The sequence below is a fragment of the Homo sapiens genome, chromosome 2, assembly GCF_000001405.40.
Source record: "Homo sapiens chromosome 2, GRCh38.p14 Primary Assembly".
In the NCBI taxonomy this organism is placed as follows: Eukaryota; Metazoa; Chordata; class Mammalia; order Primates; family Hominidae; genus Homo; species Homo sapiens.
The window spans coordinates 113258626-113280061 of NC_000002.12; the positions used below are offsets into that span (position 1 = coordinate 113258626).

Genomic DNA, 21436 nt, shown 5'->3' on the forward strand with positions numbered 1-21436 from the left:
GTTATTCTTGTATTAGCATTGAACCCATTAAAGCTAATTTGTTTGCCCTAATCTCCATTTATTTTTCCCTAGTTGATATTAGATTTCCCTTTCTATTGCTCCAGCATGATTTTCTCTTTGTCTTCCTAATGGTCTACCCCCCTCTCTCTTCCTCTATTAATCTGGTTGGCTTCACTGTGTGGTTTCAAGGCCTTTCTCCGCCTCCCCCAGCCCTTAGATTAACCCTGTCACCTCCCTCCCAAGAAGGGCTTCAGTGTGTGGATTTTTAGGGATGGAGCTGCTTCAAATGTCAATAGACCTCTAAGCTCCTTAAGAAAAGTACTACTTGACATGAGGCCCTGCCTTTTCCTGGAGCCAAGCTGGAGACCTTGGGAGCACAGGGGCCAGAGAGCTTGAGGCAAGTGAGACACACATGGGCTGCTCTGAGCCTGAAGGTCACCAAGTCCAAGGGTTCCCTGGGTAGGGTTGCCTTTGGTGCTGTCTCAGAGATTTCTGGAGGTCTCTTCACGCTGTCTTAGATCCTATAAATTATATCAGCAATATAAGGTATATAAAGTAACAGCAGATGAGCCACTTTCTCCCTCTGAGATTGGGCACCATTTCCCAAGCAGGGGACTCACTTCCTTTCCTTCCTGCAGGAGTGATGCTTCCCCCTCTGTGAATGTGGCTTTGGGTATGGCTAATCCACACCCTGCACTCTGGCCTTCAGAAGCCCAGGGAGAGAAGCCTCCCAGAAGCAACCTTCCAGAACCTTCTCCATCCTCCCACCGACCTCCCCAGCCCCTGTCCTCTCTTTGAATCTCGTTGTCAAGTTCTTCCCGCAGACACCTGGCTCCTTGAGGGGAGGTGCAGCTTTCATCTGACCATGCAGGCGTGCTTTGCAGTGGGTAGAGCAGTGCTTTCCTCCTCCCAGCTGCACACTGGAATCACCTGGAGAGTCCAGAAACTTCCCGCCTCAGGTCAGTTCAGTCAGAATCTTTTGGCATAGCATCCCTGAATCTGTATTTTTAAAAATCTCCTCTGTTGATAGCCTAGAGTTTATATCTACTCTGTGGATGTCAACAAACACTTATCGAAAGCATTAATTGATGAAACATGAACTTCTAGTCAGGGGCTGCAAATGGAGCTTCCCAGTGCTCCCTGCAGGTTTACTAGAGGTCATTCTTCCCAGATCCTTCCCACTGAGCTTCCTAGACACTTGCAGACTCCTGGCATCGCACACCAGGGCTGTGGAAGGGCCCTCTGGGCTGCAGAAGGAAGGTCCAGGGTCTCTGCGTTTGGGGAGGGAAACAGGCAAGGCAGGTATGGCAGCACCTGCCGAACACGCGTTTAGATGCTTAGCGACTGTACAAGTTACTGCACTACACCCTCAACTCCCCCTGAGGTCAGAGGCCTGTGGCTACTGATGCTTTTTTTTTAATGGGTTTATATTAAAGCAATTTTCAGTACATTAGATTTCAATTCAGTGAGCACCTACTCTGTGTCTAATAATATTCCAGGCTGTGTGTATGTGGGGTGATGGTTTCTGAGTAGAAGACAGTCCTTGCCCTTGAGAAACTTACAAGTTAATAGTCCCTGACATATTATAGAACCTTAAAGATTTTCAACACATTTACATGCACAGTCTCCTTCAATTCTGTCCACAAGTAGCTCCGTGGAATATCTGTGGAGGTGTGTATATGGGTGTCTGTGTGAATGTGTGTATGAATGAGTGGGTGTGGGGGTGTGTGCTCATGTGTGAGTATGTGTGTGTGTTGGGGATGGGGATGGATAGTAAAGGACATAAAGTACTGGTAGGTTCTACAGCTCAAAGTTATAATACTATAAATGTGAGTTTAGTGGGCACTGATTTAAAAATCACTCAGAGATGGGTAAGGAGGGAAATAGAGGGATGGTGAGAAGAACCCCTGCTGAGGGCAGGAAACCATGAGAGTAGGGGTAGGTAGGGAGGATGGGGAGAAGGGGGAATAGGAAGGAAATAACAGCTGTAGCTGGGGTGACTGCAGAGACTGAGAAGCCAGAGGAACTAGGGAATATTGAATATAATGAAGTCACATAAAGATGCCTCCCTCACCCGGACAGTTGAACTAAATGACCTCTAAGTTTCTTTTGAAGGCCGAGATTCTTTGCTTCTGAGATCTTAACTAGGATACAACCTGATGGGCTTGACTAGCTCATGGAGGAGGCATTTGTAAAGGGTGGGCTTTAGCCTGAATTAGGGCACGTTTAGAGAGAGAGAGAGAGTGACTGTTTTGTGTGTGTGTGTGTGTGTGTATGTGTGTGACTGTGTGTGTGAGTTGCAGAGTCTTCAGGGTGGGGGACAGAAGGAGGGCCTGGCCATCCTGGGGACCATAACAGGTAAGAACAAATGAAGGGGAACCGCCTTTCTGAGGGACACACAGGAGCAAAATCTGTGACAAAACCGTGCATCTGTTGTTTCCACACCTGTCGATAGCAGGCACCATGGCGAAGGAGATTATCCACTCTAAAAGCTGCCCTCACTGCTGCAGAAGAAAAGGGGAAGGGACAGAGGCCAGCAGATGCAGCCTGCAGGCTGCAGTTTCTGGAGAGGAAACAGGGGGTGCTGAGAATTAGGAGGCCTAGGTTCTGCCCACTCTGTGACGATGCCAGTCTGTGCCTCAGTTTTTTCATCTGGCTTGACAGAAGCAGATGATCCTTCCAGTCCTAATGTCTACAACTCTGGGACTGCCCTCAGCCGGGGAACAGAGGCCAGAAACCCCCAGAAGCTGGTACAGAGAGAGCTCTAGAGGGAAACATTGAGTAACCTTCCTATGTGACAAAACACCAGGGGTGACACTGGGCGTGCCATAAGATGAGGGAAGGTAGCACACAGTGGGGCCTATGGGCTGCCACATGACTTGCATGGTAACAAAGTGGGCTGCCACGGCTTACAGACTATGAAGGTGGATGTGCACAGTGTCTGTGGAGTGGCAGAGTTGCAAGGCACACTTCTGAGAGGATCCTTGACCAGGAAGGAGAGGTGAGCTGTCTAATGTCACAGATTCACCTCATGGCAGAACCAAGAAAGAACCTCAGCGTTCTGACCTAAATCCCTGTCTTAGCCCTTTGGGAGCTTAGTGGCTTCTTGGCTGGGGCCATGTTGGTAGAGTGGAGGAAGAAAGTGAGGTTTGCGCAGAACATGTCCTGAAGCAAGTCATGCCCTGAAAGATTTTAGGTTTTTTTTTTTTTTTAGACAGAGTTTCACTCTTTCACTCAGGCTGGAGTGAAGTGGTGCGATCTCGGCTCACTGAAACCCTGCAACCTCCGCCCCACCCGGGTTCAAGCAATTCTCCTGCCTTCAGCTTCCCAAGCAGCTGGGATTATAGCCGCCCACCACCATGCCCAGCTAATTTTTGTATTTTTAGTACAGACAGGGTTTCGTCATGTTGGCCAAGCTAGTCTCGAACTCCCAACCTCAGGTGATCCACCTGCCTCGGCCTCCCAAAGTGTTAGAATTACAGGCATGAGCCACTGTGCCCGGCCGATTTTAGGTTCTTGTATCAGCTTGTTTGCTTATCCTTTTTGTTTTCTTAAGTGTTTTTTATTTTTTGTAGAGAGGTGATTTTGCTATGATGCTCAGGCTGGTCTTGAACTCCTGGGCTCAAGCAATCTTCTGGCCTCAGCCTCCCAAAGTGCTGGGATTACAGGTGTGAGCCACCATGACTCGCCTTTTCTAAGTGTTGAACCTGGACTTCAGGCTCTCTTTGGGGGATTCTGGCTTGGGAGGGGGAGTCCCCTCCTCTGTTGGAGCAATAGGAAAGGTTCTGGAGGATGGATGTCACCTTCCCCTTCTTTTTCTGTCAGCTCCAAATCAGAGCTTCTGCAGCGGTGTTGCTCAGACCCAAAGCAGCTGAGAGTCAAGTCAGGGCTGGGTGGGGACTGAAACGGACTAAGGAGACACAATACTTAGGTGTTATGAATTGAATAGTCTCTCCCCTGTCTCCACCCACCACCCTAGCACCTTGGAAACAAGGTCTTTGCAGATGATCTAGTTAAGGTGAGGTCATTAGGGTGGGCCTAATCCAATATGATCAAGTCCTTGTGAAAAGGGGAGATTTGGATACAGAGATAAAGTGAGAAAGCCATATGAATATCAGAGTTATGCTGTCACAAGCCAAGGAATGCCAAAGACTTCTAGCAAACCACCAGGAGCTACGAGAGAGGCACAGAACAGATTCTCCTCCAGCCTCAGAAGGAAACAACTCTTCTGACCCCTTGATTTGACACTTTTGGCTTCCAGAACTGTGAAACAATAAATTTCTATTATGTAAGCCCTCCAGTTTGTAGTACTTTGTCACTGCAGCGCTAGCAAACGCATGCACAGATCAACAGAGTTTTAGAGCTTTAGCCCTGAATTTCACACAGCAGGCTTGGGCAGCCCCTGGAGGCTGCTCTCCTAGGGTAACTGGCTGCCCCTCCAGTTCCCTCCAAATGACTCTTAAGTGTAAGGCAGGTTCAGTCAGTCAAGTAGAGGGTAAAATCCTTTCTAATAGCTTACCCTCTTTTGGTGAAAACCTGTTTCTCTTGACATTACTATACTTGCTACCATCTTGTTCATCATCTTGTTCTCCATTTGTGATCCTTGCATCATGTGGCAATGTTTTGTTTTGTTTTGTTTTGTTTTTTTTCAGTGAAAGAACATCAGTGTATCAGCACAGCAAATATTCCAAATGCCAGGCTGGATTCCCTCCAATTACCAGGACCTCCAGGCTTCTCCTCCTTTCAAGAACTTTCTGACCCTGGATCCAGTCTAAATGTTGGTTATAAACTCACCTGACATCCACAGGGCCCTTCCAAAATACTGTCAAGTAAGTGATTCTTAAATTTAGTTCAACAAACACCAGTTGTTGGACTTGGTTGCATCCAGGATTAGTTTTCACAACAATCCCATGAGGTAGGTGGGGCTGGCACTTTGCCCCATTTTATAGATAAAGATGCCATCTCGGAGGCTCAAATGGCATGTGCACAGCCAGTTAGGGGCAGACCTGAGACTGCATTCAAATCTGATCTGCTTCTACCCATAGCCAGATGGGAGATCTCTGGGAGGAGGAGGCACAGTGCAAAAAGAAGGGCTGTGCCCCCAGCAGGCAGGCATGAGGGACTCCACATGGGAAAGACTGTGGGTGGGCTGTAGATCAGTGTTTCTTAAATGCTGATCATAAAAAAATCCCTGGGAGCTTGTGAAGGATACAGATTCCAGGGCTCCATATTTGCTAACAAAAATCCCAGGAGGTTTTGATATAGACCACACTTGAGAAACAGTTATCTAAAGCCAAGAAAGAAGAAGAAAAAAAAGGAAGTAAGGAAGAAGGAGAGGAAAAAAGAAGAAAAGAAAGATCCATTTTACAAATACTTGTGAAGCACTTAGTATATGTCTACTATGTGCTAGATATTGTTTGGAGCTGTATTCCCAGTCTGCAGGAATTACAGGAATCTTGTAATCTTTTATCCTCACAGATGCTCTCACCCTAAATCTGACCAATTACCCTGCCAAGTCGACACCCAGCATCCACTAGGAAGGTCCCTTGTTGGTTCAAACTCCCCAGGCTTGCCAGTGTTTTTTACTCCCAGTGCCCATTGCTGCTCAACCTGGCTATCTGGCCTTCAAGCATAGGCTTCTGTGCCTACAAGATGCCTCTAGGACCAGGCAGGTATCCCAGTGGGGCAGCTCCGGCCTGAATGGCTGCATCAGGTTCCCTCAAAGGCTGCATTTCTTGCTTTCTCAGTTCCCTCATTGCCAATTATTATAAAGAAAATAGAAAAGTAATATAGCAATATCATGGGAAAGGATCAGGTGTATTTCATGTTGGAAAAACTTCATGTACAAAACTCAAATGTGCAAGTTGCATCAACCAAGGAAGCAATAAAAAATGTTATTGGAGAATTAGGTGAAAACCAGCAGCCCAGACATTTGTAGAGTCCTCACTCCTTATGTAGGATTTTGTGTAAGGTGCTGGGGATAGAGAGAGATCTGGAAGGGTTCTTGTTCTTTTCTAGCTCAGAGGCAGGTTGTCACTGTAAGAAGCTAAGTGACATTTGTTGGAACAAGTACTGAGTACCCAGGGAGTGGAGCAGGTGCAGTGGGAAGTCAGACAGGATGGTCACTAAAGGTAAAGGGTGTCTAAAAAGGTCTTGGGAAGGAGGTGGAGCTTGACTGAGGCTTTGTCAAGGGAGTGGGAGTGGGAAGGGTGTTCCAGGTAGCTGCATTGAATGGGCAGAGACACAGAGGTGAGAATGTACATGGTGTATTTTGGAAACAATGACTAGCTGGCTGGAACATGGGTTTGCATACGGAAATAGTGGGAAATAGGCCACGGAGGTAGGAGAAAGTCTTCTCGGATTGTACATCAGCAGTTTGCCTGAAAATGGCTTGTTAATGATTGGATTAAAAGGAAGTGCAAGGAGAAATCTGATTATTTTGGAAAATCACCAGGTTAAGTTTGTCTGAAACAGAGCCAAGAGAGGAGAGAAACCAGAACATTTTGAAAAAGTGAATAACCTAGCTATCACAGATTATTGCCATGGCTTTTCCACTTAATAAAATCACCGCAAAACCTGAAGACAACAGCGTCAGTAGGTATGCAGCTGTGGCAAGAGAGCCAAGAAGGATATGAAAACTGCCAACAACAGAAGCGTGAGGCCAAGCCAGGGGAGGATGGAAGTTTCATGCACAAGTGAATAAAATGCCCTAAAACGTATACATCGAGTGCACTTTACCCAGACGTTCTGATGGCACATTGGAATTAACACCATAGCTTAGCTTCTCTTGTCAACCCCTGCAGTTGGGCTGAACCCTGACCATGTTCCCATTGCTGTCTCCTTCCCTCAGGGCTGACTGCTGGTGCCTGGAACCTGCACACCCTCCTGGGACTCTGCATCTCTGCTGGGGCTGGTTTCTCCTCTGAGCCACCTTAAGGAATCCCACCCTGACCCGGTCAGAGCTCACCATGCCTCCCTCTCCTACTTGCTCAGCATTTTGTGTCTATCTAGACTGAAGCCTTTGCTTTCTCTCTGTGATTATGGTGAAAGTTCAGTTTGCTTTCCTATCTCTAGAATGTCAGCACGAAGGCAGAGGCATGGTCTCCTGAGTTCCATAACCCCAAAGCCTAACTCCCTGCCTGCCACACTGAGGGGCTTAGTAGACATTGACTTACTAAATTGAATAGTTGAGTAATAATGCTCTTTGAAATAATTTGGAGTTAGATCTTGAGCCTTGTGTGGCCAGAGGATGGGTGAGGACACATCATAAAAACTAAAGGTAACTGAGCATGCCAGTGGTTGGGGTGAGAAATTTGCATGGAGCACTCCAGACACAGAGGCAGCAAAACCCAAGTGCTGGGAAGTCAGAGTGAGAGAGTGAAGGGGCAGTGAGTGCTTCTTTAGGAGCTGGATCAAAACCTAAGATGATCTGGCCACATGGTGCAGACTGAGCACACACTTGGGAGAGAAATGGGCCAGGAGGAGAGGAGAGAGGTTCACCACAGGACAGTGGATGACTGGGAATAGAAGCCCTCCCCATGGTGGACCAAGAAGTCTGTGAAGCTGAGAGAAAGACAAAAGAAATCACGACTTCTGTAGGTAGCTGGGATGGAAACCTCAGGGGTGACAGGGTCTTTAAAGGAAATCTCAAGGAAGGCATCATGTTCTGGGTGTGCTCCAGGGATGCTGAGTAAGAAAAGACCAGCCTTTCTGTGTGTGTCTTTACTCTGCCACAAGGCACCTGGGCTCCTAAATGACCAATACACATGTGCTATACTGGTGCCAAGAAAGAAGGGTGTTTTGTAGGAAAGTCAAGGTGAGAGGAGGTGCCCAGGACTTGGCTCCTTTCTTTGAAGGGTGACGGTGTAAATTCTCCATGCTGGGGATCCTACTGATGGATGGAGGCATGTCGATCTCATCATTTCACAGAGTGGGGAGCTATGGCCACAACGTGCCTATCACACAAGTCCAGCCTCACGTCAGCTGGACACCAGCTGTTCTGACACTTGTCAGCACATGGGGCACCCGGAAGTTCATGGTGTTCTGCAAAGAACGCCACAAAACAGTGAGCTCAACTTCTTGAAAGTCATAATGTGTTGCTAAGTCCGATCCCAGATCCTAAAAATAATATGAGGTAGTGGCCATTGAACAGAAAAAATTTACATCTTAAACTTGAAGATAAGTACAAGTGTACCTTTTTCTACCACTGTTGTTCAGTTTTATTATATTGACAAGCACCTCTGCCCACCCTGTGGGGTAAAACTGTTTGAAAGTGTTTATGAAAGTTTTATATAAATATTGGTTGATCAAATGTACAAAATATGCATGATGGCACCATATTGTGTATAATAGTGACAAATACAGTCTATGTGGGTGGAGAAACAAGCTCGGTGTTGTGCATGCGGCTGTGGTTTGTGTTCACACTTCTCCTTTAGAGTGTAGTAGACAGAACATGCCTGAACTGCCTGGGGCTGAGGGGTCTCAGGCGCAGAGTGGCCCAGGAATTCTGAGCAAGGACAGAATGTTAGAGAGAATATCCTGAGCTGAGCAGAGAGGCCTGCCCATGCTAGCTGGCAGCCACCTGCCTTCAGTGCTTCATTCTTGGGGGACCTTGAGGCCAGTTCTTGAGTGGATGAGTCCTGCCGCTACTGCTGCTGCCCACTTGGTAGCTCTGTCCTCATCTGGGAAGAGCCACTGTGAACCCCAGAGACCTAGTGGTGCTAGGGGCTGATGCAGGCAAATGACTGGCTGCCCCTGGATCTTATGTGAAAACAAGAATGCTGGACCAAAAGGTCTCTACAGGGCTCCATGACTACCCATGACCCGTAACTTCAGTGAGGAGCTAGTGGCCAGGAGGGGCTCATGGTTGGACACTGGTATTCCTCTACTCAGACCTTAAACCACAGGTTGCAAGAACAGGGAGGTCACATGTCAGTGACCTCATGCCTAAATAGATGCATAGCACAGAGCAGATTCCTGGATAGCTTACACCCTACTTTCCCCAGTGCATCGATTATGACTTCCTTTCTAGCAACTGTGAGTACAGCCGGGACTCATCAATCACACCTGTAACTTCCCAGCTGCATTTCTCAGGGTCTCTGAAAGCAGGGCCTTCTCTGGTCTTTTTAAATTACCCACAGACCTAGGACAGTCTTCTGCACATACTTCTACATTTTAAAGGCTTACTTTTAGTATGTTTATGTGTGTGAGATGGGGAATATTGTATTCATGTGTGCATGTATATGTCTGTGAGTACTGTGGTCTGTGTGTGTAACTGGGTATGACTGTGTGTGTCATATGGATACAGGGGACTAGAATGAGGACAGCCAGGTGTCCAGGCTATAAGATCTAAGGAGGCACTTGCTCTCAGGGCCAACCCTGCCCTTGCGTGAGCCTGAGAGAGAGAGCCTCCTGGAATTTTGCACCTTGAGTGCCTTCCTGCTTCACCCTAATCCCCCCGGTTGTCTGTATGTTTGGATGTGAGTGTTGTACATATGCTGTGTATGTGTGTGCATGCATGTGAGTGTGCATGGGTGTGTGTCTGTATGTCTCAGCAGCTGTCACTGGGCTTCCCAGTCCCTGTCAGCAGGCGAAGGAGGCCCCTTCATTTCCTTGGGTCCTGCTTATGCAGCACAGGCCACAGCAAAGGCTCCCTGGGTTGGGTCAGCCCTCACTCTAACTCAACATGCCCTGGAAGTCACCACAGGGTCATGGAAAGAGTCCTGGTGATGAGATGGAGTGTCTGCTCTGCCACAAGGGCTGTGGGACCAGGGTCGGGGCATACCTCTCTGGGTCTCAGTTTCCTCACTGGTAAGATGTGGCAACAGAATCTCATCTGTGAGCCCCCTCTAGCCTTGAACAACTCTGGATCCAGGTAGACCAGCATAATGAAAGCCTATGAAGCTTCTGAGATGTGCGAGGCATACATTGTCCCAGGTACTCAAGTAACTCAAGTCTGGAAGCTGCGAGCCACAGAGATCAAGCCTTCTCCAAAAATTGGACTGCAAGGCATGCCGTACAAACAGAGTGCTAGGAGACCTTGGGGAGGTGGGGAAGAGGAAGAGGAATCATGGACAGCTTCATGGGGAGGTGGCTTTGGAGCTGGGATGGGTGAGGACAGCTGGAATGTGGGCAGCACGTGACCAAGTGCTTTGCAGACATGGCATGGCCCCCAGCCAGGCCCTGAGGAAAGGAGAGTCTCAGGACAGCAGCTATGTCACTGTAAGCAGGACCCTTGAAAGCAGGTGCCACCTGCAAAAGGGGGAGCCCTGAGGCCCAGGCAGGCCTGTCACAGTGTGGGGCACCTGTCTAGACAGCCCCATGGCCAGCAGTGGGGGTGGGCCATGGGCCATGGGGACCTTCCTGGTATGGGGTACTGCCATGTCCCCAGGGAATATGGGGGGCCCAGGAAGGTCCCCAAGGCTCGAAGGACCCAGGTCTTTTCATACTGCCAAAGAGATGTAAGGCCTACAGAGGGGAAAGTTTGCATATCTGTGAAGGCATGGAGCCTAGGCATTGGAAGTGTCCAGTAAGCATTTTCATTTGGCAGAAGTATCTCCATGGCACTTCTACCTACAGCCCTGCCACATTTTGCCACAAACTGTCCAGCAGCCCTGAGATGGAGCCCCAGTGTAGACCGTCATGGAGCACACTGGCTCTGGAACAATGAGGAGCAGACTGGAGAAAGCCAGATGGGGTTTACCTGTCAACAGCCACAACATAGTTGTGCTGGGGTGACTGTTCAAGAAAAATGAACTTTGGTGCTCCTGCCGAATGGGTTGTTAGTGTTCAGTCCTTTTCCTACCACTGAGTTGTTTTGTCTGATCATTCTTCCTCCTGGTTCTGCGGGTCTGCCTTCTTGAAAGGGAAGAGCAAGACTCCAGCTCCCTGCCCTGTAGAGGTGCCTTCTACCTTGCTCAGTGTTGAAGCAAAGGAGCAAAGCAAAGCTTAAGTCAGAGATTTGGTGCTCAGCTAATCACAGAGACTTTTAAATGTCAACCAGGGTTTGCTATCAGGCCAAAGCTGGATTATTATTACCCAAAGTAGAAAATTGTGAGACAGAGGCAGGTGGGGAGGGAGGGAGAGAGAAGAAAGCAGAAGGTGGAGGATACGTGGATTTAATTTTTTAAAAATAAATATATGATTCCGTGTCAATTAAAAACAAGTACCCCAGGCAAGTCTTCCTGCAGTCCTGTCTTAGCCGCACACACAGCATAACTGCAAACCCACTTGAGCTCATTTTTGCTCAAAGACCAACTCTATTAAACCCTTAGAATGTTCTGGATTTCAACACACAGTCCACAGACAGCCATTCTATCAAAAGCTTAGTGTTTTCCCTATGACTGGGTTTTCTGGTAAGGTGAACTAAGGCATCCTTTTCCATTTCAGGCTGTGGTAACAGCAGATAACAGCCGCAGAGGTCATAGCCAGCACTTTCTATGCGTCCCTTCATTTAATCCCAGTACTCCTAGGTGGTAGATCTATTATTTTGTCCACATGAATTATTGAAAAGTCTGTCCTAAATTTTAAATGGAACGAAGTACTGGGTTGCAAGTTACTGGTGGCTGTTTCACAGGAAATACTACGACAATGGGACTTTGGGAATGTGTTCTGGAGACTCCACTCCTTGGTGACTACTACATGGAGCACAGAAAATTGTCTTGAGTGGCAGCTATGTGCCAGGTGAGGAGACAGGTTTTACTCACATGACTCCCCAGAAGCCCTGCAGCATCCCCATATTTTATAAAGGGGAAGTACAAGCCCAGAGAGACATCTGACTTGACTAAGTTCACACAAAAACAGCAAGGTCTGGGCCAAGATGGAAGCCCGGGCTTTGCCTTCTTCTTCTGCCTGCAGGGCAGGGGCTTTCATCCTGGCTTCACGCTGATTTCAAAAGCCTCTCATTCTCTTGACACCTCATGGCCCCTGAGTTTATCCCAAGAATAATAAGTTCTACTGTCCTCCTGGAGATGCCGAAGAATCAAAACTGCAACACACAGAGGGCCTGGGTGTGCGCGAACACTGTAGTACACACCGATGACAGCAGATTAAGCCATTTCTCTCTTAGGTGCGTCACCCAACCAGCTCCTGGACCCTTCTGCTGTGCTGCCCTGACAGTCACAATATGTCCTAGTGGACTAATTAGCACTAACTACCCATGTCACCCCAAGGCCATTTAAGAAGACAAATAAAAAAGACAAAACCAATGAGTATTGTGGCTGAAGATGACGAAAAAAAGTTAAAAGCAGGGAGGAATGAATTATTTTTTCTTTCTCAATCTCTCCCTCTGCTTAAACCAAAGAGAGGTTTTCATCTGAGAGCCCGGGAGCTAAGCAGCTACTTTCTACATGAAAAAGTGAAAACATTAAAATAAAATCCCTTTCTTTCAAGCTAACGTTCTAAAACTGAACCTCTGCAGAGGCTCCAAAAGAGAAATGCCTTGCTTTTAAGCCCCTGAGTGAGAGGGATCCTGAGGAAGTGGCAGAGGGGATGAACCTAAGCTTTGGGACATAACAACCGGCACCTCCAGTGGCCACCACTCCTAGCTATGCTGCCTGTGGATGGGGCCCCCAGTGCTGGCCCCTAACAGCATGGGGAAGCCTCCCCAGCCACTCTGAAGCTGTTCGCATCACATCCAAGATGAACCTAGGCAGGGAGGCTGAGTGTGCTTGGGAGATGCCAAGTTAGGGAAGTAAGTTCCCCAGGGTCCTTCAACTTGTGGTGCCTGAGGATAGCTGCTTTTTTTCCAGTGCAGATGGAGACACGGCAGCCTTGGGGGGATGTGTGAAAGTAAGGCCTCCCTCCCTCTGCCTTTCCAAGTGGCTGATCATCTCCTTCCTTCTCATAGCTACTTCTAGGAGAGGCATCCAGGCAGGAACCACTTCTCCATTTCACAGATGGGAAGACTGAGAACCATACTGGAAAGGGGTGTATTTTAATTAAACTGGAGAGTGGGGAACACTGATGAGGAAAGCAAGCTGATAGACGGAAGGCTCTGCCTGTCACTGCCAGCACGGGCACTTGGGCCTTCTTATCAAGGGTTCTGATGGGAGTTTCCACTAGGATTCCAGGTGTCGATCATCTAGTAGCCGAGTTCTGATGAGCTGGACTTTGGGTGGTTGAGGTAGGGAGCAGTGGAAAGGGGAATTGGAGTCTTATCAACCTCTTTGAACACCAGTTCCTTCCCCTCTCTTCTATAAAAATGTCGTAGCAATACCTGCCTGGCAGAGTTGTGAGAATTAAATGAGATGATGAATACATCTGCTCTCAGCACCACACCACACCTGTGGCAGTCCTCAGAGAGAAGAATCACAGCTTTCATTCATTGAGAGCTCACTAAGTGCCAGGTATGCTCAGCTCTTGTGCAGACGTTCTTTTTCTTTGGATGTAAATGTGACATGGGCAGAGCAGGAGGAGCTGTGAGGCTGGCTTGGCTGAGCCACAGGGATTGCTGGCATCTTATATGGCATTCAGGACTATGGAGGGTCCACGGGAAGAAACACAGAAACAGAACCCAAGTATCCTTCGGGGACTCTTGGACTTTCTTCCCCTTGATCTTAGACATGCCTCAGTAAACAGATGCTGGTTTCTATCGAGACTCATTCCTGGGGAAGGACCCCCACCAGCCAAGCAAGGTAAAGCCCAGACTCAGTTACATGAATTACAGGTTTAAGACAGAAGCCTTCCTATGAATATTTTTCTGGCCAGTGGCTTATATAAGAGAAATTTGCTCATTGTATTTCTATCTGGCCAACGAAGGGGTCTAGAGGGGCTTTCAGCAACCCAAACAGTCTTGTCAGCCCTAACTCTGGACCTAAGGAAATAATTATGAATCCTCAAGATCCATTTAAAAGTGTCATTACTGTAGATAAACAAAGACGAGTGGATGCTTCTTCCTACTCCACCTCACTGCAGAGATTCCATCCATCCCAGGGTCACTGACCACTGACTGGATGAACTAGGATTGGTGTGGCAGAGTGGAGTTTTCAGGAGCCAAGAGACTCCTGGATTGTCATGCTCTGTACTCCTTCCCCACGAAAGGAATGTCTAGAACTCCTGCTGAAAGTAGTCATTGCCTGCATTTCCTAGGCAGAATGTGTTAGCTCCCTCCCCAGAAGAACCTGGGCGAAGAAGGTGTTCCAATCTGCATTTGGAAAGAATCCCTCCCGCAAAGAACTCTACACCCTCTAAGAGAAGATAACGTGAGGGCATATTCTCCTCTCTTAGAGGGTGTTTTCAATACTAAATTCTATCTCTGAAGAGAATGAGGACCCGAAGGGGGGCAGTGCACCAAGTTTTCAACTAAAACAAAAGCAAAACTAATCTGCAGTCTTGAAGGTGGGCTCATTCATTCCCCTGCCCCCACTTTTTAAAACATTTTTTTTCTTAAATGAAACAGTTTCTTTTATCTTTTGGCTTCTCGTGTACTCAGAACCATAGAGCTCAAAGCTTCTCAGCTCAACGGAGAACTCAGCACTTCTTGGACTGATAAATAGAGCAGCTTTAAAATGCTTAGAACTGAAGACAGACCAACTGTGGCGAGAGAAAGTAAACACATCCATGCACCAGTCAACCCTAGCAAGCTCCTCGCTGAGATTACAAACTGCAGTTCCTGCCTGAGCCGGAGAGGATGCTGGAGCAGGCTGGGGGACCAGAACCACAAACCAGCCCTGGCTTAGCTCTGGCTTAGCTAGCTGTGCCCCAGAAGAGCTGGGTCCTCAGGGAGTCTTCTTGCGGCCCGGTTTGGATGTTCCTAAGCATAGAAGACTCTGCCAGTGTGTCCCTCATTCGTTTCACATTTGGAAATGTACCAAGAGAAGTGGGAACCAGCTTTACTCTTTGATCTAGATGGGAATCCTTTCCTTTGCATTCAAGCTCTCTGTGTACAGGTGTAACTTGCCAGTGAGAGACTTGGGATTTCTCACAAAATAGAATGTGATAACGACATAATTTGATATGAATATTTGAGGAACTTTATCTCTGGACAATATATACTTTAAACATCCCCCTCCCCAAGTCACACACACAAATTGTTTTTATGAGAACCAATTAATAAATGCTAATTCATTGAGGCATATCTTCACTAAATTACTGTTTCATTTAATTGCAGGGAATTTTCCATTACTAAACTCTCCCTTGCTGATTTTTTTTTGCATTATTTATATACTCTTTCAATTTCACTAATAGTGAGGTTGGTATGTGATATTATCTGATGTTTGTACGTCTTAAATTTATTTTTCATTTAAAATATTTCCTCATTCTTGCAGCTCCACATAATCAGGGAGAAACATCAATAAAAGCAGGCAAGATTTTACAATAAATGGTTGAAAAAGGCACTGGCTGAAATTAACCTGACAGGAACGCGTCCTGTGTGATTGTGTTTCTCTCATTCCAGACGTGCGTGTGTGTGCGTGTGTGTGTGTCTCTACTTTGGGTTAATGTGGGAATGCTTTCCTATATCAATAAGTCACAAGTCGATCTGTGAAAAGATTGTGCATACAAAATGGAGATGAAGATCACAGGGGCTTTAATAATAAAATAAACATAAACAACACTCGAATCTCTTTATAAATCCCAGAGCACAATGTGCGTTTTCTTACTTCCTTTTCATGGACCCCAGATAAAGACTTTGACAGCCAGATATCCAAGATCCGGATCAGCCAGCTTCCTAAAATTCTCCTCTTTTTTTTTAAGGGGTAGAAAACTGGGGGTATCCCTTGGTGGTTAGGGGTTGCTTAGAGACTGTGGTAGAGATTTGGTGTTAACAAAAATGTATTTTGAAAGCAGGATTTCAATTTTCTTATATTGAATGGCAAAGGTTCCATGCACCTGGCTATCTTCATTTCTGAAATGAATGCTTTCATTTTATTCTCTCCAGCTACCTTCTCCCTTTCTTTCCTTTCCACCCCCATTGCCTCCTTTCAGTGTCTTTCTTTTTCTCCTTATTCTTTCACTCCTTTCTCTCTCACAGCAAAATGTTCTGGAGGATGTGAATGATTAAACTGTTTACTCCAAGGTTTAGGTATGAAAAGGCAAGTCACTGTAAGTAAAGTTTCACCTTTATACCCAACTCCATCAATAATTACAGAACAAGGATGACTATTAGTAAATCTTTCTTACAATTGGCTCTTACAAAAATGATTTCATTTTTTCTGGGCATACCAAGTTTGACAGATTTTACTTTTCACAAAAATTATTTACACAGCAGAGGAACCTGCTCCAAAATGAAGGAAGCATATAAAGGGCCGTTGAGTGTATCCATAGGAAAATGAATACCTATAAAATGCATCTCAATAAATTAGAGATTTGAGGCCATAAATAGAACGTTTTGACATATTATATTAGTAGATGCCCTCTAATTTAAACCAAAGTGTCCCTTAGTAATTAAAATTCCATGAGATTGATTTTTTATTTGGTTTCCTTCACTTCCTTTGTCTTCTTCAACAAAATTAGGCAGAGTCCTTTTGGGGGTAGACTGATAAAATTAATTAACTTTCCTTCCACCCCCAAAAAGTTCCAAATAAATGCTTCCAATAGACATCAAAAAAGTGTCAATTAGAAATAATTACTTCTTATCAATCAGTGGGGCAATTAAAGTGACAAAGCTTAAAAAGATACTTATCTTAAAACTAATTCACAAGGTAGCTAAATTATCTCCTAATTAACTTGCATTGTGGAGGGTGGGGGGGAACCATCTTGAAACAAAGATGAATTGATGAACCCCAATACCTCTTTATGTTCCTCAAAGTTGCTTCCATCCCCTGAAACCTTATTTTCAACCCAGGCAGGAAACCTGGGAAGAAAACAGATCCTTTCCAAATGCATTTATTCCACTTTCCTCAATTCTAAAACCAAGAGTTAGGAATGGGGCTTTAGATCTCACATCAGGGAAGTTAGAGACATCGTCCTCTGCCTTGTCTTATTTTACCACTTGAATGAACTATTTTCGGGACTGGTGGGAGTGGGCTGCGACAAGTTATTTAAGATAACTTTTAATGACAGCCAGCCTGCTTGCTTTTACAAAACTCTCTTCCTCATTGGTACAGTATTGTTTTCACTTTTATATATATGGGGCATTTATCGTTTCTTCTGCATCTTTGAATTTTTTTAAAAATGTTTTTGCTTTAGAGAATTTCGTCCCTGATGCAACAAAAATAGCGATTTTAAGGAACGTTCAGCCCATCGCTGACCTGCGCACGTTAAAATGATTCGCGTTCAACATTCCTGCAGAATAAAGCTGTAGGAAAGACAACGTTAAGACTCTCTGCAAGGCAAGACCAGCCAACGACGAGGCGACCCCGTGGCAGGCTGGGCGGCGGAGGCCGCGCGGGGAGGTTTTCTCGAGCGTCCCCGGTTATTGGGAAGGGTGCGCTCGGCCTCGCTCCCGCGGAAAGCCGTGTGGCCGCCTGCGTCCCGGGCTCTGCTCACAGAAAACTCAAGGGGAGCTCCCTAAGCACGGCCGGTCTCAGGAACAGAGGTGCCTGGGGAAAAGGGGGAACCTGCTAAAACCCGAGAGATAATGGGCTTGTAAAAACCAGAGGGGTCCGCTTATGAGTTTAGCTCCGGTTATAGACAACAGTGTCAGGTAAGCTGATCAGAAAGACAGACGGCCTCTCCCTCAGGTTTGCCGAGGGAGGGTTCAGAAAAGAAACAGGGAGCGCCTTCAGCAGTCTATGCGGTTATAGGCCATTTTCTTGTTTTATTAGCGTTTAAATTAAACTATGAGAAGAAAGTCTCATCTTCCCTCCCTCGCCACTTTGTCTATTTGTTTTGGAAAGAGGGTAGAAGAAGCCCCTCTGTCTTCCCGAAAAGAAGAAAGGGGAAAAAAATTACCTGGTAGGTCCAGGGGCAGAGGGCTCCCTCCCAAAACCCAAGCGCGATTTGCATCCAAGCTAGTGGGAAAGCGCGCATCTCATCATCTGGGACTGTTCCTGATTAAAACTACAGTAAAAATAAATTGTGCCTTTATTTATTCTTTCCATACTCTATTTCCATCTATTCTAACGAGTACTTCTAGAATGAAAATAAGTAGCCGCGAAAAAAAAAAAAAGCTCATCTGAGGGACGGGGACATCGTCTCATTTCTTGGGCAGCGGCAGAGAGTAAGGGTCCAGCCCGGCCACAGTGAATTTGATTTCCGAGAGCACTCACTCCTCCTGCCACCGCCGGAAGGGTCAGGGGAAGGTTAGGAGGAAAGATGGACCTCCAGAGCCGAGCAGAAGTGCCATTGCACCAGCTTGGCGCAGAAGTGCCATTGCACCAGCTTGGCATGGGCACCGGGCACTGCACATTAGGCCTCAGGGATGGTCCTGGCGATGTCTGGTATCGTACCACGGTTTGGCTAAAGATTAAGGGACTAAAACCTGATCCTGACCTTAGATAGTGGCCTAGGAGCGCTCGTGGTTCCAGGACGCGGACCGTAAAGAGGTGCCAGGGAGCTCTGCTCGGTCCCAGGGCTCCCCAACCCCGCCGCGCCGGGGAATGGCTGCGAGGTCTCTCCCCTGAGGACCTTGAAGGGACCCCGCGCCTTCTGGGGGCAGCCGGACGATTCTGGCCCAGGTCTCTGAGGGGAATGGGGGCCGGGAGGGAGCATTCGTCTGCAGCTCTAGAGAGAACCCGAGTGAGAAATCTTCCGGCGCCCCAGGGGGTTCCCGCTCCCCTCCTAGTTGGGCCATGGCCCTGGGACTGGAGACTGCGCCGCAGAGCCCGGGCCCCCGCAGTGCGCTTGGCTAAATAGAGATCTCAGCCTCGCTGCGCGCCCGATCCGACCCTCCTTATTATAACAAATGTCCCGTTTGCAGAGCGGGACATCATATTCGCGGAGAATTCATTCTGAAATATTGATTTCCTCTCACTTCGCCGGCCCAAATCGATAGCGATGCGCCCTGGCCCCATAAATCGCCTTCTCTGCGGCCGGCCGGGCTCCATCCATCACTGCGGGCCGCGCTGCGCCTCCACCGCTGTCCGCACTCGCTGCGCGCCGGGACGGCTGCGCCCACCAGCCCTGACCCTGGAGCTCCTTCCCAGCAAAGACCCTGCCCAGCCCTGGCCGGGAAGGGGGAAAACAGGCATCGCGGCCTGGGAGCTCGAGTGTGTTTGAAGGCCCTGCTTCCGGGCGCAGGTGGGGAGGGGGTTTTGACTCCGCGAGCGGCTTAGTCCTCACCAGCCGGACGCCCCGCGCGCGGCGCCCGGCCTGCCCGGTGCTGGGCCAGGAGGAGTCGGAGAGCACCTGAGTGCGCTGCCGGCTCCCGGGCCCGGGACCACCGGCTCCATTGCCGTTGGCTTGAGAGATGCGGGGAGCTCACAGTCCAGCCAGGGGAGTCACTGGGAAGGACTGCGCGCACCCGAGGAAGAGGACTTAGAGGTCGGGGACGGGGAAACGGCAAGTCCAGCACCGGTGCAGCCCAGGGACAGAGCACGAAGAATGTCCACACTAATGCGCCATGCAAGGCTGGGAATGGAGCTCAAAGGAAACCCCCTCTAACTCCACAGAGATCCCCTCACCGATCCATGTGGTCCCTCGAAACCGGGCAAGGGCGGCTCAGCTGGCCGGGTGGAACCCCAGTGCCCGAGAACAGCGAGGCGGCTCCAGCGGAGGGCCAGGCCCCAGGCGCCCCAGCTGGGTCCCCACGCGGGTGGGTCCCGCGAATCCCGTGCTGACGCTCTCGAGATCCAACCACCCGAGCGCACGCACGGACGCTCAGCGGCGCGGGGGCTCGGGGATCCTGACCACACCGCGTTCTTACCAGATCTGATGGAGTTGTGAGGCATCGCCGGGGAGTCGCTCGCAGCCCGCCGAGGGCTCGGGGCTTCCTCCCGTAGGTCCGGGCCGCGCCTGCCGCTGCCCTGCACAAACCCAGGAGAAGGGCATGAGATGCGATGAGATTCGATGCCTGCATCCTCAGGCCCCCTCCCCAGGCCTCATCCTTTACACCTGCATCGTCTGCCAGGAGTAGGAGGATTTTTAGGCGAAGTAGGGCCAACCTCAGCCTAGCCTAGCTAACAGGCTTCCCGGGAGGATCAAGGATTGGGAGTGCGCTGAAGAAGCTCCAGACTCCAACCTCCGTGCCCACTCCCTCCGCTGTCCCAGTCTTATCCCGTTTAACTTGGGAGGGAAAAGGCTGCCAGGCATCCTGGGACCCTCTCCTTTCTTCCATCCCCCGTCCTCACTGCTAGCCAGCTTCCAGCTAACCCCTGGGTGACATACCTGGCCGGCCGGCTGCAGGCCCTCACTGCTTGGGTCCGCCCGCGAGGGTGCCCTGGGCCCGGTGTCTCTCCTCCTTCTGAAGTTTGTTCCCATCCACCCGGCATCACCGACCGGTTTTATCCCGCTGAGGCCCTGGGAGATGGGTCTGGCGAGGCTCGTAGGCCGCGGATTGGCTGGCTGGGTGCAGGGGGGTGCGGGAAGGGGAGGATTTTGCAAGGGGGACATGGCTGAGTGGACTCAGGAGTTAGAAACATTCGCTGGGAGCTTCTGTTTCCAGCGGAGGGAAGAGGGAGGCAGCTGAGCCCTAACTCAGCAGGCCTGGAAATATTGGAGGAGTGGGGAACAGAGGCCTAGGAGCCTGAGGATGAGGTTCTCTGGGTCCTCCTGGGTCACTGACCACCAGAAGTGAGAGGGATGGTCTCTGTAGGATGCCCTCCTTGCCCCCTGTCTCCCCTGGTTTGCTCACCAGGAAGCAGCCTTTTCTTTTGTAAAAGGAAGGAGGGAACTTCTGTTTTATGCCTGATTCTTTAGGTAGAGCCTGCTTTCGGGGCTGTAGGCAAGATGCTATTACCTTCTCACCACAGCTATGACCTCTTCCAGGGAAGAATCCTGAGCAGCACCTGAAGCCATTCCCTCTGTTCTACACAGATAGCGTTCACACCCTTGCATTGTCAGGCTAACAAAATTGTCACATAACCCATTCCACAGCAACTCCTCGCCTCTCTCCTCTGGAACACACACGCAGCCACCTGCCCTCTTTCTTGCTCCTTGAGGATTTTGAACTTGGAAGAAGAGTTCAGGGGAAGGGCATTGAGGGCCTAGACTTCATCTCTGTGTGGAAAGGCCTTAGAAAGGAACAGGACTGAGCTGACCTCTGGCCTGGTCTGTAGGAATCAATAGCCTCAGCAATATGGGGGCCTGGGTGTGGTTAAGAAGGGGTCCACTGGTGGGAATGATGGCAGGGTTGGTGAGCCCTGGGACCGAGCAGAGCTGCCTGGCACCTCTTTACCTTAGTGATGGCAAAAGCTGCCCCCTCCTTCCTCATAGTTCTCTCAGTCGGGGAACCGGGGTACACGTAAGATTGTGAGTGGGTATGAGTGAGCAAATGTCCTGGAACACTGGCAGGCCTGGGGGTCAAGGCCTGGATGCTCCTCCAATCTTTGGCCAGACCTCTGGACTCAGGATTACAGTCTAGAGGACAGCCATGCCCTTTTCAGTGATGGCTCTGCAG

The 21436-nt window shown here is 48.8% G+C and overlaps 1 protein-coding gene and 1 long non-coding RNA gene across 5 annotated transcripts in view, besides 1 other annotated feature; one reads left to right on the forward strand and one right to left on the reverse strand.

Annotated features, from left to right (window-relative positions):
- Positions 1 to 8398, forward strand: part of PAX8-AS1 (PAX8 antisense RNA 1) — a 31497-nt gene extending 23099 nt beyond the window's left edge. The window contains 3 exon segments of the long non-coding RNA NR_015377.2: positions 639 to 959; positions 4653 to 4829; positions 6851 to 8398. This is a non-coding gene — a long non-coding RNA (PAX8 antisense RNA 1).
- PAX8 (paired box 8) overlaps positions 1 to 20296 on the reverse strand; it is a 62925-nt gene extending 42629 nt beyond the window's left edge. For all 4 annotated transcript variants that reach the window (NM_013992.4, NM_013953.4, NM_013952.4 and 1 more), the window contains exons 1-2: positions 20206 to 20296; positions 19745 to 19844 (exon numbers count right to left, since the gene is read on the reverse strand). In NM_013992.4, the coding sequence (NP_054698.1) occupies positions 19745 to 19769 (25 nt within the window). In that variant the 5' untranslated portion in view covers positions 19770 to 19844; positions 20206 to 20296. The remainder of the gene's footprint in view (positions 1 to 19744; positions 19845 to 20205) is intronic.
- Positions 19769 to 20898: a promoter, noted in NCBI's record as "-602 to +528 relative to transcription start site". NCBI's record gives the evidence for it as "EXISTENCE:reporter gene assay evidence [ECO:0000049][PMID:21450989]".